The sequence below is a fragment of the Homo sapiens genome, chromosome 5 (genome assembly GCF_000001405.40).
Source record: "Homo sapiens chromosome 5, GRCh38.p14 Primary Assembly".
Taxonomy (NCBI): Eukaryota; Metazoa; Chordata; class Mammalia; order Primates; family Hominidae; genus Homo; species Homo sapiens.
In genome coordinates, this window is record NC_000005.10 from 131,969,576 (window position 1) to 131,984,637 (window position 15,062).

At 47.3% G+C, this 15,062-nt stretch overlaps 1 protein-coding gene across 25 annotated transcripts in view; it reads right to left on the reverse strand.

Moving 5' to 3' along the window:
* ACSL6 (acyl-CoA synthetase long chain family member 6) overlaps positions 1 to 15,062 on the reverse strand; it is a 62,241-nt gene that overhangs the window by 19,603 nt on the left and 27,576 nt on the right. For 10 of the 25 annotated variants that reach the window (NM_001405488.1, NM_001405479.1, NM_001205250.1 and 7 more), the window contains exons 10-15: positions 7,073 to 7,146; positions 5,318 to 5,395; positions 3,691 to 3,825; positions 3,149 to 3,283; positions 1,975 to 2,070; positions 553 to 625 (exon numbers count right to left, since the gene is read on the reverse strand). In NM_001405488.1, the coding sequence (NP_001392417.1) occupies positions 553 to 625; positions 1,975 to 2,070; positions 3,149 to 3,283; positions 3,691 to 3,825; positions 5,318 to 5,395; positions 7,073 to 7,146 (591 nt within the window). Of the gene's footprint in view, positions 1 to 552; positions 626 to 1,974; positions 2,071 to 3,148; positions 3,284 to 3,690; positions 3,826 to 5,182; positions 5,261 to 5,317; positions 5,676 to 7,072; positions 7,147 to 15,062 lie in introns of all 25 variants that reach the window. The other 15 variants (NM_001405478.1, NM_001205248.2, NM_001405475.1 and 12 more) reach the window with 4 other exon arrangements.

Genomic DNA, 15,062 nt, shown 5'->3' on the forward strand with positions numbered 1-15,062 from the left:
GTATATTGGATTTTTATAGATTCTAGATACTACATGGCCTTGCTTATAGTATTTTAGAATGAAGGAAGCAGGCTATGAATTGGACCTGACGTGTAAAGGAGAGGCAGGTTCATAGGGGCCAGGGTACTGTTTCTTAAAGGGCCATTTTAGAGGCCCTTTGAGAACTACGTTCTCCTGTGATATCAATGTCTCAAAGGCAGCGGCAACCTCAAAAAGGAACAGCTCTCATCCACACCCTCATTCTGAGGAGATTCATCCTTCAGGGCCAAGGGAAAGCAGGGCTGTAGTGGGTAGCCCATGGATTACTCACCAAATTTAGACCAGATTCTTCCAGTGTGTTAAGGATGAATAAAAAAGGGAAAAACCTCAACAGTGTTTACAGATTCACAATGCCACAACCCAGACATAACCACCATTAATGTTTTTTTCTGTCTCTTTTGCTTTATTCCTAAGTACCCATGCAAATTTACTTTCCATGAGGGAGTTTTAGAGCTGGCTGCTTTTACTCCACAGTGCCTCGCGAGCCAGTCCTATATCTCTAGCCCATCCTACCTGAGGTCCAGTCGCCAGGAGTGGTGAAGGTACATCCAGCTGTGCACTCAGTTTGGCCATAACCTTCATAAACCTTCAAACAAAACACAGAAGCCACACTATGGGCACACACCCTCCAAGAGCTAACTGGCCACCCCTTCCAGACAGCTAACCTCCCACTGAGCGTGTCTGACTGCTTCATGATCAGGGCGATGGAGGGAGGGAGGTGCTCTGGAGGTAGATAACTCCAGGTGAAACTGAACACAGACAACAAGCATGGCCACATTTGCTTGGAAGAAGTGCTATTTTTTTTTTTTTTTTGAGACGGAGTCTCACTCTGTCGCCCAGGCTGGAGTGCAATGGCGTGATCTCCACTCACTGCAAGCTCCACCTCCTGGGTTCACGCCATTCTCCCGCCTCAGCCTCCCGAGTAGCTGGGACTACAGACATGTGCCACCACACGTGGCTAATTTTTTGTATTATTAGTAGAGACGGGGTTTCATCGTGTTAGCCAGGATGGTCTTGATCTCCTGACCTCGTGATCCACCCACCTCGGCCTCCCAAAGTGCTGGGATTATAGGCGTGAGAAGTGCTATTTTTATCACAGACACTTAGTAGATAAGGTTATATAGTTTAGGGTAAAGATTTCTGACCTATTTTCAACCACTGAATCTACTTTTCATCTGGATAATAATGAATTAAAGATAAACATTTTAAAATCTACTCTGTGTTTTATTTTGGCTCCATAAGCTATTCCCCTCCAGAGCCCCACCTGTTTGCATGAATACACCATGCAGGAGTGTCTGCCTTTAGAAGTGGTTAGGCCATGCTGATGTGGAATAGGAGTACAGTGAATAAAGATCAAGGCTTCTAAAGCAGAAAAATTTAAGCACGCACAATTATGAAAAAGATGGGTCTACTTTACTTCAAATCCATCAGCCACAACCACGTTATGATACCCTTCATATGCAGAAACTTAATAAATATGAGCTGAATGGAAAATGAAGAAATAAACTTTTAGAGATGACAAAACATAATAGATCAAATAACACATAAATGGGCTTTCTCCCTTGTTCTCCTTTTCTGGGTTGCAAGATATTTTGCAGGCTGAAGAAGGTAGAGATGCAGTACAGGTATGGTACAGATTCTACCGCACATTGATGATCTGTCTATGGTTTGTCTGATCCCTTTGCCCTTTGTGAAAAACTTCCAAAGGTCCAGATAAAAGAATTTCCCAGAGTGGATAAACCTGGGCTTTCCAGAATGTGGCAATGCCATCCTGGCTTTCACTGGCTCTGAGTTTTTTCCTCCTCAGAGGAGGGAGCTTTTGTCTCACAAAAATCTTGTCCCCCGGTTCTTTCTCTGAGCAGTAGAGGGTATAGTAGTTTTCCTGCCCTAACGAACTTCCTGCTGTTTCCAAGGGAGGACACACAATGACAATACCTGGCACCCTAGAGCTGCCCGGAGAAATCCCAGAACTGTTGGTGATGCTGGGGCTGCTCCAGTAACAATCATCCGCACACACCCACCAAGACTGGCCTGTGGGAAGAAAGAAGAGCTGCCAAATTTTGTGATGTCTGAGATGGTGTCCAGTCCATCTGGGTTTCATCCAAGGTCAACATCCAACAACTGGGTCCTACCTGGATGCTAGGGCTGGGATCAGAAAGAAGGCCTGAGGTTGTACAACACACGAGCTGAGGAAACTCCTTCCCCTTCCTAATGATAAACACAATCAGCTCTGCAGCTCAATCCACCATATGACCAATTCTTTTATGCCTTTTGAGATAAGTACCATCAGTCTGGGTGGCATTCTATAATATTGGTTCTTCTCCCTTCCTTAAAATACACAGCTGTTCCGTCACTCTCCCATCATTGACAAGAATCCAAAACAATTACTTAGGACAATTTCTTCCAATTTCCATTTTAATGGCATTGCCTTTTTTCATGTATAAATCAATACCATGCTTTATTTACTATGTACTGCTGAGGACGAAGAATACTTGAAACACTTTGTTTATGTAAGTTGAGCCAAGATATTTTAAATATTAATTTTCATAACTAAAAATAGAGTAGCAAGAAAAAAATGAATAATGCTACTAATTGACTACAGATTCCTTGGATAATGCAGAGTTTAAAAACTTTTGAGGAGGTACAGAAATGAGTAATTCAAGATTGGCCTGGTGTGGGAGATACTAAAGGGACAGAACACAGAAAAGAAAAAGAAGATTTTGAACCATTTGGCTAGACCCATGCTGCTGGAAAGCCACCATGGCCAGGATTACAGGGAGGGGCAAGAGAACTTCAGGGCCCAGGAGCTTCTCAGTGGAGCACTGACCTGACTACCCAAGGTCAAAGCCACACTGTTGCCTGTGGAGATCAAGGGACCTACTATCCATAGTAGGTTTTCTTCTTGCTCATCTCAAATGTAACGTATCTCCAAAAATCAAAAATGTCTAAGTTTAAAATTTCAATCATAGCTTAAGCTTTGATTTCATGAGCAAATGAGTTACTATTTCACATGATTACAGGGCACTGGGATGAACTTCTCCAGTTCTCCTGCAAGGTCACCCGTTGGATACTTAGGTGTCACTCTATAATCACTTGTTCATTTTCTTACCTGAATCTTATTAAAGAAGAGTTCATCCCAGATACTATCATTCCTGATGATTCCACTCCGGACCTCGGCTTGCTTACGCTTTGCTGCAAACTCCAGGAGCCAGCGCTTTAATGGTGTGTTTGCCTGGCTGAAGATCTGAGGAACATAAGTTGGAAGCAGCTGTCAGAGCCTGAATGTCTCATTTCTAGATATATCCCCCAGGAATAAGGCCCAGACTGGCCAGCAGAGAAGCCATGTTCCATTTTGCCCCTGCAGGAGGTCACTGAATGTGTGACATTGAGCTGAAGGTTAACACTGCCAGGGTCCAGGCATGCTGTGAAGATGGAAGTTCCTGAAAAAAAATCTCTCCCGCAGGGGTATTTGGAGAATAGGAAGAAAACAGGAGAAGGAAGAATGAGAAAGAGTCAGGAACTACAAGAGAGGAGGCAAGTTCCAGGACTTGGCAGTGGAGGCACTGAAAGCCTGCCTGGGGCTCCAGACCCTGTCCAAACAAGCAAATATGCAGCCCCTCAGCCTGGCTGAAGACTCCCTGCAGAACTTACCTTGTCGTACATCCGGTTCAGCAGTCGTGGGACCACAGGGAAGATGGTGGGGCATAGAGCCTTCATGTCATCTGAGAGAAGGCGGATATCTCCCTGGAAGAAGCCAACACGCCCTCCGTGGCAATAGACGACAGACTAGAAAGACAGGACAGGAAGGGAGGAGTCCCTTAGGGTGGTCACTACTGGCGATAGTCCAAAGCTGTCCAAAGTGCTGCCCTACATGGAGGGCACCCATGACCCCCTGACCCAGCTCTGGCTGCTGCCATGAGACACTGATGAATGCCATCTGAGGTGACCCCCACCCCCTCACCTTCCAACCAAGTCCCACTCAGGCACAGGGAGATGAAGCAGAAGATGGAGTGGAATCCTGAGCCTCTGGGAGATGCCAAAGCAGCCATTCTCACTGGCGTGTGCCCCCCTCACCTACTCCCAAACCCTGGACATGGGCCTCCCTGGGGACTCAGGCCTTTGAGATGTACTACAGCCTACTAATGGGTCTGCTCCAGGTCTTAGAGTTGTTGGATTTCCCCAGGGAATTCTGGGAAGGTGAAGGTGTGTAAGCCCCATGAGTACTGGAGATGCTGCTGAAGTTGGCTGTGGGTGCTGTTTAGTGCGAGGCCAAGGGGGAGCCCCTGGCTGGTTCCTAATGGGACTAGGAGTACACCAGGGGCCTTATATATGCTCCTTTCTTTAATGCTCATAGCAACCCTATAAGGGAAGTGGCATTTCTACAGGTAAGGAACACAAAGCTCAGAGAGGTTACATGACTTGCCCAGGGTCACAAAACTAATTTACAGTAATTGCTGGCATTGAATCCAGGTCTGGAAAGCTGGAAAGCATGCTCTCCAGATGCCACGGCCTTACCTGCACTATTACATAAGACCTCCCCCAAGGCAAAATGGGAAAGGCCTAGAAGACACAGTTTTTTCATATGCTGGTCCCTTGAGTGACACATATATGGAGAATTCCTTGTCTCCATAATCACATATGGATTCCTCCTCCCACTCCCTCTGTACTTCCACAAGGCCTGTCTCAGGGCCAGCCTCAGGCCAGTCCCCATCTGCAGCCTGAAGAGCCATGCCAGTTTCATTCCCCAACTTTACTCTTTTGTTTTCTCTTTTAGGAGTTTGTGAATTATAAAAGTTATGGAACATAAGTGTTTTGGTCATAAACGGAGCTGTACTGCACAGAGCTTGAATGGTAAAGCACTTCTGCAAAGCTGCAATACTCTCTGAGAAGATGCTATCAGCTGGGGTCTCTCTCAGCTGAGTGTGTCCATGGGTAAGACAGGGCAGGCCTGGGGGCTTCCCTGGAACAATGCTCCCAGGAGGGACAAGTGGGGTGGCTAAAGTCCTCTGAGCCCTCTGACCCCTATGGTACCTTCTGAGGACAGGGCAGTTTGGTCCTACTTCATGCCACCAGTGACAAGTGACACCCGCTAGGGTTATGGGTTCTAGGCACAGAGTGTGCCTCCCTGATGCCAGGGCCTTACCTGCACCATTCGCTCAAACATGTGTGCTAAAGGCAAATAGGAAATGTGCACATCCGCACAAGTGGGAGCCCACTGACTCTGTAAGAAAAAAGAAGGAGCCCAGGCAAGGCCCGGTCAGTCAGGTGGGTGTCTTACCTGGATTACTCTCTCAAACATGTGAGCCAGAGGCAGGAAGGAGATGAGCACATCGTCCTGTCTCGGAAAGATCACTTTCTGCAGGCGACGGGCATGGGAGACAGAAAGGAAAGAAACACTGACAGGAAGACGACAAGAGAATCATAAAACAATAAAGAGAAAATGGTCCTGGAGGGTAAACAGGAAGAGGGGGAGGGGAATGGGAGTGGTGAGGACAGAGAGAGAGGTGAGATGAAAGAGAGAAGAAATGAGAGAGAGAGGGAGAGAGAGAGGGAGGGGGAAGGTGCAGAAAGAAGAGAGAGACAGGGCAGCATAGGAAGCGGAGTGTTAGGTCGCAGCGTCAGTGGGTCTAGGTTATCTGCAGAAGCAAAGAGCCAAATGAAGCACACAGAAACCAGCAGAGTGGGCTCCGCAGGGAAGTCTCCTCTCTGAGGGCCTGCCCCTCACTTGCAGTCAGTCGGCTCTAGCCCGGCTCTCTCCCCTTCCTCCCCACACCTGCAGGACCTGCCCCACACCCCATTTCTCCAGGATCCCTGGGCTACCCGGGCAGGGATTCAGAAGGTCTTGGCTAGTCAGCACTTTCTAGTCCTTGCAGAGAAAGGGGCCCAGAGACTCCTAAGTCTATGCAACTGTGGCTGGGGTATGAGCCCCAGCCAGAGGAGGAGACAAGGCCAAACCCCAAACACTGGCTGAGCCTGGCCTCACAAGCCATCCCTGGAACCAGGGCCTTAAAGAGGAATGCTGACAGGGAGCCCTGCTGTGCCCCGCCAGCAAAGGGAGGGCCCAGGACACATCTCACAGATGGGACTGACCCTAGGGACAGGGGCTACTCCAGCCAGGGGAGCCCTGCACAAGGCTTGGGATCTGGGTGGGCTGTGCCTCCACGTGCTCTCCTCTGCTGGACTTCCCTGCTCTCCACCCCTTTGCAGAGGCCTTCACTCTCCTGTGCTGGCTTTTGGGCCAGCTTGGGCAAACCTTGGCTCCTGACCTGGGCTCAGCCACCAACTGTCTCTCACAGTTTTCTGCTAAAATAAACTGTCTCTCACAGTTTTCTACTAAGTGTTTGGGGCACACACTTCATAATGTCATCTACCATGAATGTGGAGTGTGACTTTCTCCACAGTGAAGAAAAAGCCAAACTTTTTTGAAAAGATACACTCCTTTATGCTGAAGGAAACTGCAGGACATACTCACCACTTGTGGGAAAAGTCCTCCTTTGTTAGCCAGTTATAAAATGCTAACATGCTTTGGTCAGGCCAAGACATCAAAGCTTTTTTGATTTTAGATTTACCTTTAAGTACAGCCTTATAAATTAGCAGTTGCCGTTGTTTCTCAGACTCTAGTAGTCCTTAAACACAAAATGACTGAATTAAACCCTGACCTTTGAAAAACAAGTTATTAAGGATTACTTTCTAAATAAAGGTACACACAAAACCATGGGTATATCAATTTTTGAAGTTATTTGAAGTTAGAAAGGAAAAATAGGTTTGCATGCTTTTCTTTCTGGGATCTTAGTACTCCCAGAAATCAACTGAATATTTGTCACGTATGGGTCATTTCAGTATTTGGAGTGAAAAGTGATGGTAAAAGTGGGGTTGCTCTAATGAGAACAGAAACTCCTGCCTGTGAATGGCAGCCCAGGTTATATCAAGAAAAAAAAAAAAAGAAAAAGAAAACAAACAAATAAAAAAAAATCCTCTGAGGCTTGAGGTTGTCCTCAAGAGACACCTGCAACAGTAATGCTACTTTATTCACCTCTGTCACTTTCAGAAAGCCTGAGAAATCAGCCACCACGTTCCCATGGGTGAGCATCGCACCTTTTGGGTTCCCTATAAAAAGAAAGCAAGAAGTCAAATTAGTTGGAAACTCAAGGGCCACTTCTTGAGAGCAGTGCCCAAGTTGGCAGTCCCAGACACCCATGCTGTCTACCCAAGCCTCTGGCCTTTGTCTTCAGCCACCTTTAGACTTACAGGCAGATGAATGCTGCTTCAGGGACCGCTATCCTATAGACATAGCCTACCATTAGGCTCCCACCAGCATGGGACCAGGAGGCAGGTGATATGGCTGCACAGGAGGGGTGCCTCAAGGCCTGAAGGGTCAACTGCTTGTGGTCTGTGCCTTATCCTCTCCCGTCTTCCTTCAGGAGCAGAGGCTGTCAGCCCCGAGTCCCCTTACATATAGCAAGGGCTCTGTACTACTCCCTGGGCCTGAGTGGGCCTGGTCTCCTGAGTCCAGCAGCCAACTCTGATGGCAAAGGACTTCTCTGCTGCATTTGGCACCTGGAAAGGCCCCAGGCTCAGGCCAGGCTGGAGATCCAAGAGGGCTGGGCAGCCCTTCCTGCCTGCTCCTTGGCAGAAATGGGACACAAATATTCTTGCTTTGTTTTGATATGACCTTTCACTACTGCTCGTGAGGCCTAGTTCTCTGGGCCCTTGAGGAAGTCAGGGGCTGCTAGGATGACTCAGAGGGTAGAGATGGCTAGGGATCCCAGGCACAGCAGGCTGGGAAGGGAGGACAACTTGGCCACCATTTCCTGTCAGGGTAGATACAATCCCAAAGTTCCTGCCGGACAGATCTGACAGGGCTCAAATCCTAGCCTTGCCACTCACTGCCAGCATAACACTGGCAAGCCATTGTTCCTCTCTGTTTCCTTACCTGTAAGATGGGGAGAGTAATGCCCACCTCACAGGCTTCTATAAGATCTAAAGATATAATCTAAGTATGAAAGATGTTAAATTAGGTTCCACTGAGGCAGCCAGAGATGTTAAATCAGACGTTTCCACTGAGGCAGCAGATACAATAGCTGCAAAACATCAAATAAGCCAACATGTTAACTTTGCAACCCTCACCCTGAATGAGGCAATAAAAGGGCTGAGAGAGACTAAGAGAGTGTTGTACTCGATGCCCCTGAATTGCTCACTTTAAAATGGAGTTGATTTTATGCTATGTGAAATTTGCCTCAATGAGGGGGTGGGGAGAGAAAGAGAGAGAGAGAGAGAGAACTTTTTTTCATCTTTGGAGACAGCTACACTGAGTCATAGCCCATCAAAAGGGGAGGAATGAAGGGTCCTCTCTCCTAATCTCAACCTAACACCCGAGCTAACTCAGCCCCTAATGGGATCACTTGAAGTGCCTGATTGTGCTCCCTGCAGCTGGGAGACCCAATGAGAAAGATGAAGAAGACTGTGGTTGTAAAACGAAAAGAAACCAAATTAATCCCAGGGAATCTGGATATGGAGTCTACAGAAGGAACATCAGTCTTAGAGAGCAGTGGTGGGAATGGTGGGGTGCAAGAAATCTTATCCACGAGACCAGTTTGCCAGGGCAAAATGACAATCGCCCATGAGGGGAGACAATCAAGAGTACACCAAAGACAGAAGCTGAAGTGGAGCAGGCAGCAGGCAACCCAAGGAAGGACACCACCTAAATCAAGAGTGCTCATGAAGGCAGCCATGAAGCAGAGGGAGTTTTAGACGTTTGCCCAAAACCATCTTTCAACTTTCATAGTCTACTTATTTATTCTCCTACCCCACTTCAAACCTGGTAGGAGAGGGCAGAAACCTCTGTTAGCAAGCTGGGGGAGAAGGAAAAACATCAGAGAGGAACAGAGGAGAGAAGGACCGTGCCCTCCTTACCAAGCCTGCAGCCAGCCCTCGCTCGGGAAAGGAAGGAGTCTCAGTGAAGTGTACTGATTCCTATTTTGGACTGACACTTGTAATTCTGAATTAAGACTGTGTTTGTGACTTGCAATGTCCATAGGACTTTTTATTAACTGAGAGTGACCAGAAAAGGCACAAGATGCCTGAGTTTTTGCCCAGGAGCAGAAAAAGAACTACCCCCGCGGCACAAATTTAAAGGCACGAATGGAGATAAAAATAAAGTTGCTCTCATAATTATATCCCAGGAGGCCTACTTGTTCAACTTACTGGTGACCCATTTGTCAGAGATAAGAGCATCAGGCATGGCCCAATCTTTGAATTCAAGAGACAAGACACATCTGTTTGACTGAAACGTATGGTGGATGGGATTTTAACCTGCACTCTGGCACTTCCACCCATATTGCAAATCACAGAGGTGATTCTGGGGACACAGAAGATTATGACATGATTTAAAAAGTTACATTTCTCTAATAAATAGCTGTCAAAATATCTTCCTTTTGAAAAGAAAAAGTGCCATGGGGTCTAATTTTATCTCTGCCTATCCTTCTTTCTTCCTAACATCCTTCCTCAAACCCAGGCTCAGATTAAGAAATATCCAAGTTGTCTCATATACAAATCCCACAGAGTACCTGGGCCCACAGAGTACCTGGGCCCACAGAGTATTCCAAGTGTCACCTAGCAATTTCTTCCCACTGACTCTTAGGATCTGGAAGTTTCTAAGGAATATCTCCCAAACACTAGGTATGAAATCAGAAGTGTCATGAAATAAGAGTCCTGTGTTACAGAGCTTTGGATTTGCAAAGTTGGCTGACTTGTTCATGCTTGAGAGAACTCAGGGTGAATGGTGTAAGAATCTCAAGGGAAAACTGTCTTCATTGATAAAAAAAAATTCTAAAGCCGCCATTCAGTTCAAGCCAAAACACGTACAACAGCAGTAGTTATTCAATTCCACTTGGTTAGATAAGTCCTTTTCTTCTCCAGCATGATGAGAAAAGTTCATGTCCTTTAGTTTTCTTGTGGATATGAATGCCATTTTATACATGTCTAATGGCATATGGAATTTTAAAACATTCCCAGACATGCCCAAATTATTTCTTTAAGTTGTCTCTACATGTGGTCCCAAAGGGTGAAGAAGAAGTGAATGTTGGCAACAAATTGTGGGGGAAGACTGAAAGGTTGCAGAATCAAATTGCAGAATTTTCCCTGGTTTTCTCCTTTTCTGGTGCAATGTCAGTAAGAGATGCTGGCTACCCAGGCCGCCAATGTCTCAGCGGTATGAGACCCACTGTCTATTTCCCATCATCCACTCATAAGCTGACCATTCTTGTATTTAATTTTCTCTCTAGCCACTGAAGAAAAACTCTCCAAGTGTTAGATTCTGCCAATGACATTTTGGCTTTGGTCAGTGTTCCTGGGCAGGCCTCCCATGGCTATTATGTAGAAAGGCATTTTGCTGGGTGACGATCTGCCCTGATTGGATGTTGGCTCCAGGTGACAGCAGCTGCGGATGGACTTGAGCTCAAGGTTTCTCCTGCAGGGGTGGAAGTGGGTTTGGGGACAGTTCTGGGCCACCCAGCTGGGGGATTCTGGCTGCTTGTTTCTGCTTTTAAATACTCAAAGGTGGGTTATAATAGTTACCGGTGACTGACATTCTCTGGAAGTTTCATAATGCAGCTAGAGTGTTCGTCTTCCTGCTAAAGGCTCTCAAATCTTTAGGTCTGAGTCTTACTTTTATCAATCCCATATCCACCAATTTTTAAAAAATCAGACTTGAGGGCTAGTAAGAATAGAAATAATAACTATAATAGTAGCCAAGTACTCAACACCCACTAATGTTGGCACTGTGCTGGGCACTTCATACATGGTAACTCAGCACTCCTGCTACATTCATTCAGGTCTTGAACCAAATAGCACAAAACGAATAGGTCATGGTGAACATTTTCCCCAGAAAGCCCACCTCTGAGTAGCCACAGTTCTGGGGATGATGGGCACTTACATGCTCAGCTAAATGACTGTATATGCCTGGGCTTTCATGGGCATCCTCAGTTAGAACAGAAGGGACGCCCCAATTTGAATGGTCTCCACCCCCTCAGCCTCCCAGCCCCACAGCCAGTGCTTAGAATTGATCTCTCATGTTTTGAGACACTTTCATATGACTCCAGACCTGTGGCCCTTCCCCTCCTATCTTCTTTCTCATCCCTGCCTCCCTCCCATGCTGACTCCTGTGTCCCTCCCTTCAGTCACTCTCCTGTCAAGTGCCTCACCTCTTGGGCCTCCCCAAGGATCCCATTCTGAAAACCCCACCAAGCCAATCCAGTTGCCAACCTTCCTGCTCCCTCCACAGCGCAGCCCCCGAGGCTCACAGTCTCTGTCCCAGAGGGGCTCTCTTCCCAGAAACTGTCAACACATGCCCCCTTTAGACTCCTCTCATCCTCAGCCAGGACTCTGACTCCCACTCCACAAAGGAGGCAGAAGCCGTCAGAGGACTCCCCGCATCTTCCTGGCCTCCCAGACTCTTCTCTTACCCCTTCCTTCCTAGCAGGGCCATCTCCTCCCTGGTACTTGGAGACCTCCTTTCTCCCCCACCCACACCAAAGCTTCGGGGGCTTTGGTGCTTGAGCATCCTCTTCCTTTCTTCTGTCTCCAGTGGCCCCTTCTCAGCTATAAGAAACACTTTCAGGATCTCCAGAAGAGCAACAAACCTCCCCCAAAGCCCTTGGCTCCACCAGCTGCTAATCTTGCTCCCTGCCATACCTTCATAGTCAACTATTAAAAAAAAAAAAAAAAAAAAAAACACAACTTTCTCCTCAAGTATAACACACACATGGAAAAGTGCCCAAATAAGTGTAAAGCTCAATGGAGTTTTCCAAAGTGAACTTGGCTGTACAACCAGCACCCAGATCAAGACATAGAACATCAACCAGCATCCCAGAGGCTCCCTTATCACCCTTCCAGGGTGCCATTATCCCAGAAGACACCCTCTACCCTGATTTGTAAAACCACAGGGTAATTAATCACGTTTTATAATTTTATATGAAAGAAATCATACAATCTTTTGTGCCTGGTTTCTTTTGCTCAACATTGTGGCATAATGTTCTACTGTAAGCAAATAAGCATTTGAATTATTTCCAGATTTTGACTATTACAAACAGTGTTGCTATGAACATGATGGAGCATGCCTTTTGATGGCATGGCCAAGCTTCGTGAAAGAAGTGCACACATGCTTGTACTGAATCAATATCTTTACTTCCCATTTGCTCCTCAGTCCACAGCACCAGCTCCTCCACCCCACGCCCCAGGACCAGCCTTTTTTTCTTTTTTTTTGTGATGGAGTCTCGCTCTGTTGCCCAGACTGGAGTGAAGTGGCACAATTTCGGCTCACTGCAACCTCTGCCTCCCAGGTTCAAGCGATTCTCCTGCCTCTGCTCCCAAGTAGCTAGGACTACAGGCATGCGCCACCACACTCAGCTAATTGTTTGTATTTTTAGTACAGACAGGGTTTCACCATGTTAGCCAGGATGGGCTCGATCTCCTGACCTTGTGATCTACCCACCTCGGCCTCCCAAAGTGCTGGGAAGACCAGTCTTTTTTTTTTTTTTTTTTTTTTTTTGAGACGGAGTCTCGCTCTGTCGCCCAGGCTGGAGTGCAGTGGCGGGATCTCGGCTCACTGCAAGCTCTGCCTCCCGGGTTCACGCCATTCTCCTGCCTCAGCCTCCCAAGTAGCTGGGACTACAGGCGCCCGCCACTACGCCCGGCTAATTTTTTGTATTTTTAGTAGAGACGGGGTTTCACCGTTTTAGCCGGGATGGTCTCGATCTCCTGACCTCGTGATCCGCCCGCCTCGGCCTCCCAAAGTGCTGGGATTACAGGCGTGAGCCACCGCGCCCGGGACCAGTCTTTGTCAAGAGCACCAGCAGGTCATTTCATGGTGACATCCTCCAGTTACAACTTAACCACAGACGACACTGACAAATCCTGTTCTCCTCTAGCCTCTCCAGCCCCTCCTGCCTGACCTCTATTGGGAACTCCTGTCCCATCATCTCCCTCATGCTCGTGCCCTCAAGCCCTGCCTCGGGCCCTCTCTTTTCCTCTCAAAACTCCCTCAAAGCAGCGTGTTCTGTGCTACCATCAGGCCTCCACATATGCTCTTTCTCCTGCAGGGAATGCCTTTCCCTGGCTTCTGCAGCTACAGATCTTTCAGGACTCTGCTTAGACTGACTTCCTCTGGGAATCCTTTCTGTCCTGCTGTACTGATCTCTCAGTGGCCGGGTAACCCATGCACCAGGGATGCAGACCTCAAGGCAGTGACCGCATCATATTGTAACTGCCTGATGACACAAGCTGGGAGCTCACGGGTGCAGACCTATGTCTTCTCCATCCCTATGCCCTCAGCACCTAATGCTAGGTCTGATGCATAGTGGGTACTCACAAAAATGAGCTGAATGAGTGAATATAGATGAATTAGAAAAAGAGTGCTAAAAACACATAGACTGAAAGTTATGTTTTTTAAAAGCACTGTATTTTCTTTGCTGGGAAGACAAGGCATATGAACTCACAAGGATAAAACATCCTAACTATCATTCAAGAGACCCAATTTCCCAAACTGGGCTATGTTACACCCACATATTATCTTTTTTTCAGAGGTGGGAATGGGTTCAGATTCCAGTCCAGCTAACTGTTATTTTGAAATGAACAGCAAACCACATGCCCACCCCTCAGCCATCACTGGGTACAGACAGACCACAAGCTCTCACCACCTCCCAGGCCTTCTTGGCCTGAATAGGGACTTCAAAGTACTGACTTATTCTAGGAATCTCCACAGATTTTTTCCACCACATGCTAAGAATGAAATCTTCCTGGAATGATTCCACCAGAATCATGGGCCAAATGTCAGGTTCAGATCATATTTTCCATCTTTCCCCATGAAAAGAACAATGTGGCCCTTGATGAGGCTGGGAGCCAGGACATTTAGCTTACATTTAAGGGAAGCTGTATCTGGGCTGTGACGCTGAGGACACACAAGGCTGATGTGCCCGACAAGAGGATGAGTACAAGAGGCACAGCATGGGCTTAGCCTAAAGCCAAGGAAATCCAAGTGCACAGCCAGATGGGGTGATATCAGGCCAGAGCCCTGCTCACTCCCCCAGCTCTGCCCAGGCAACAGCCATAGCTTTGGAGTGGGAGGTCTGGGATAGTAAATCACAGCCTATGTTTCAAGCCCTATACATTCTGCTTCCACCACACAGAGCTTGAGCAGGATGGCTCAGCTTCCTACAGTCTGGAAAAGCACTGGACATGATGTCTGCCCTCCCCAGCCAGGCAATAGCACATTTCTGCATCATGAAGTTTTTCTCCAGATCCAAGGGCAATGTCTGTGACCAAGTGACCTGTTAAAAGGCTGAAGGCACACTTTGAAGGCAGGTCCAAAGGTAAGGCCATAGCAGTGACCTGCTCCCCAAAACCATGTCACCAAAAATTCACATTGTAAAACTCAAGACAAAAAGACATTGGAAAGTGCTCTTTAAAAAGCAACATAAACCTGAAGGGCATTTTTGAATTCTGGGTTGGCTCTGGATGTCAGCTCCTGGAGAGGAAGGGCTGTGTTGTTATTTTTCTGACAAAGTTTAGTAGAATATGGTGGAAATCCTTGAACCCATGTGAGTTAATGGTAAAAATCTATCTATATTCAATAAAGCATGTTTATCATGATCCACTGACATGAATAATCCTGGTTGTAGGGCTGGTCACAGGTCTGTCAAATGCCTTAGAGGCTGCATCTGCAGAAGGCATGCAGAGCCCCAGTTCACTGCCCACTGAGAGCTGTCATCAAGATGGGCCAATCCTCAGTTTGGAAAAAGAAGGCTGGAGACTTCCTGCCCATTCAGGGCAAGACAAGTGACATCCACGTCATCAGATGAGATGGAAAGGCAGCACTGGGAAAGGCTCTGGCCTGGGAATTATGACAGCAGGGCACAGGCCCTGGTGCTTCTACTTGCTGATGGTGTCCCTTTGGAGCAAGCAGGCTTGGTGACAATCCTGCTCACCTCACAGGCTGTGCTGAGGCCCCAGTGGTGCAGAGAGAGGGT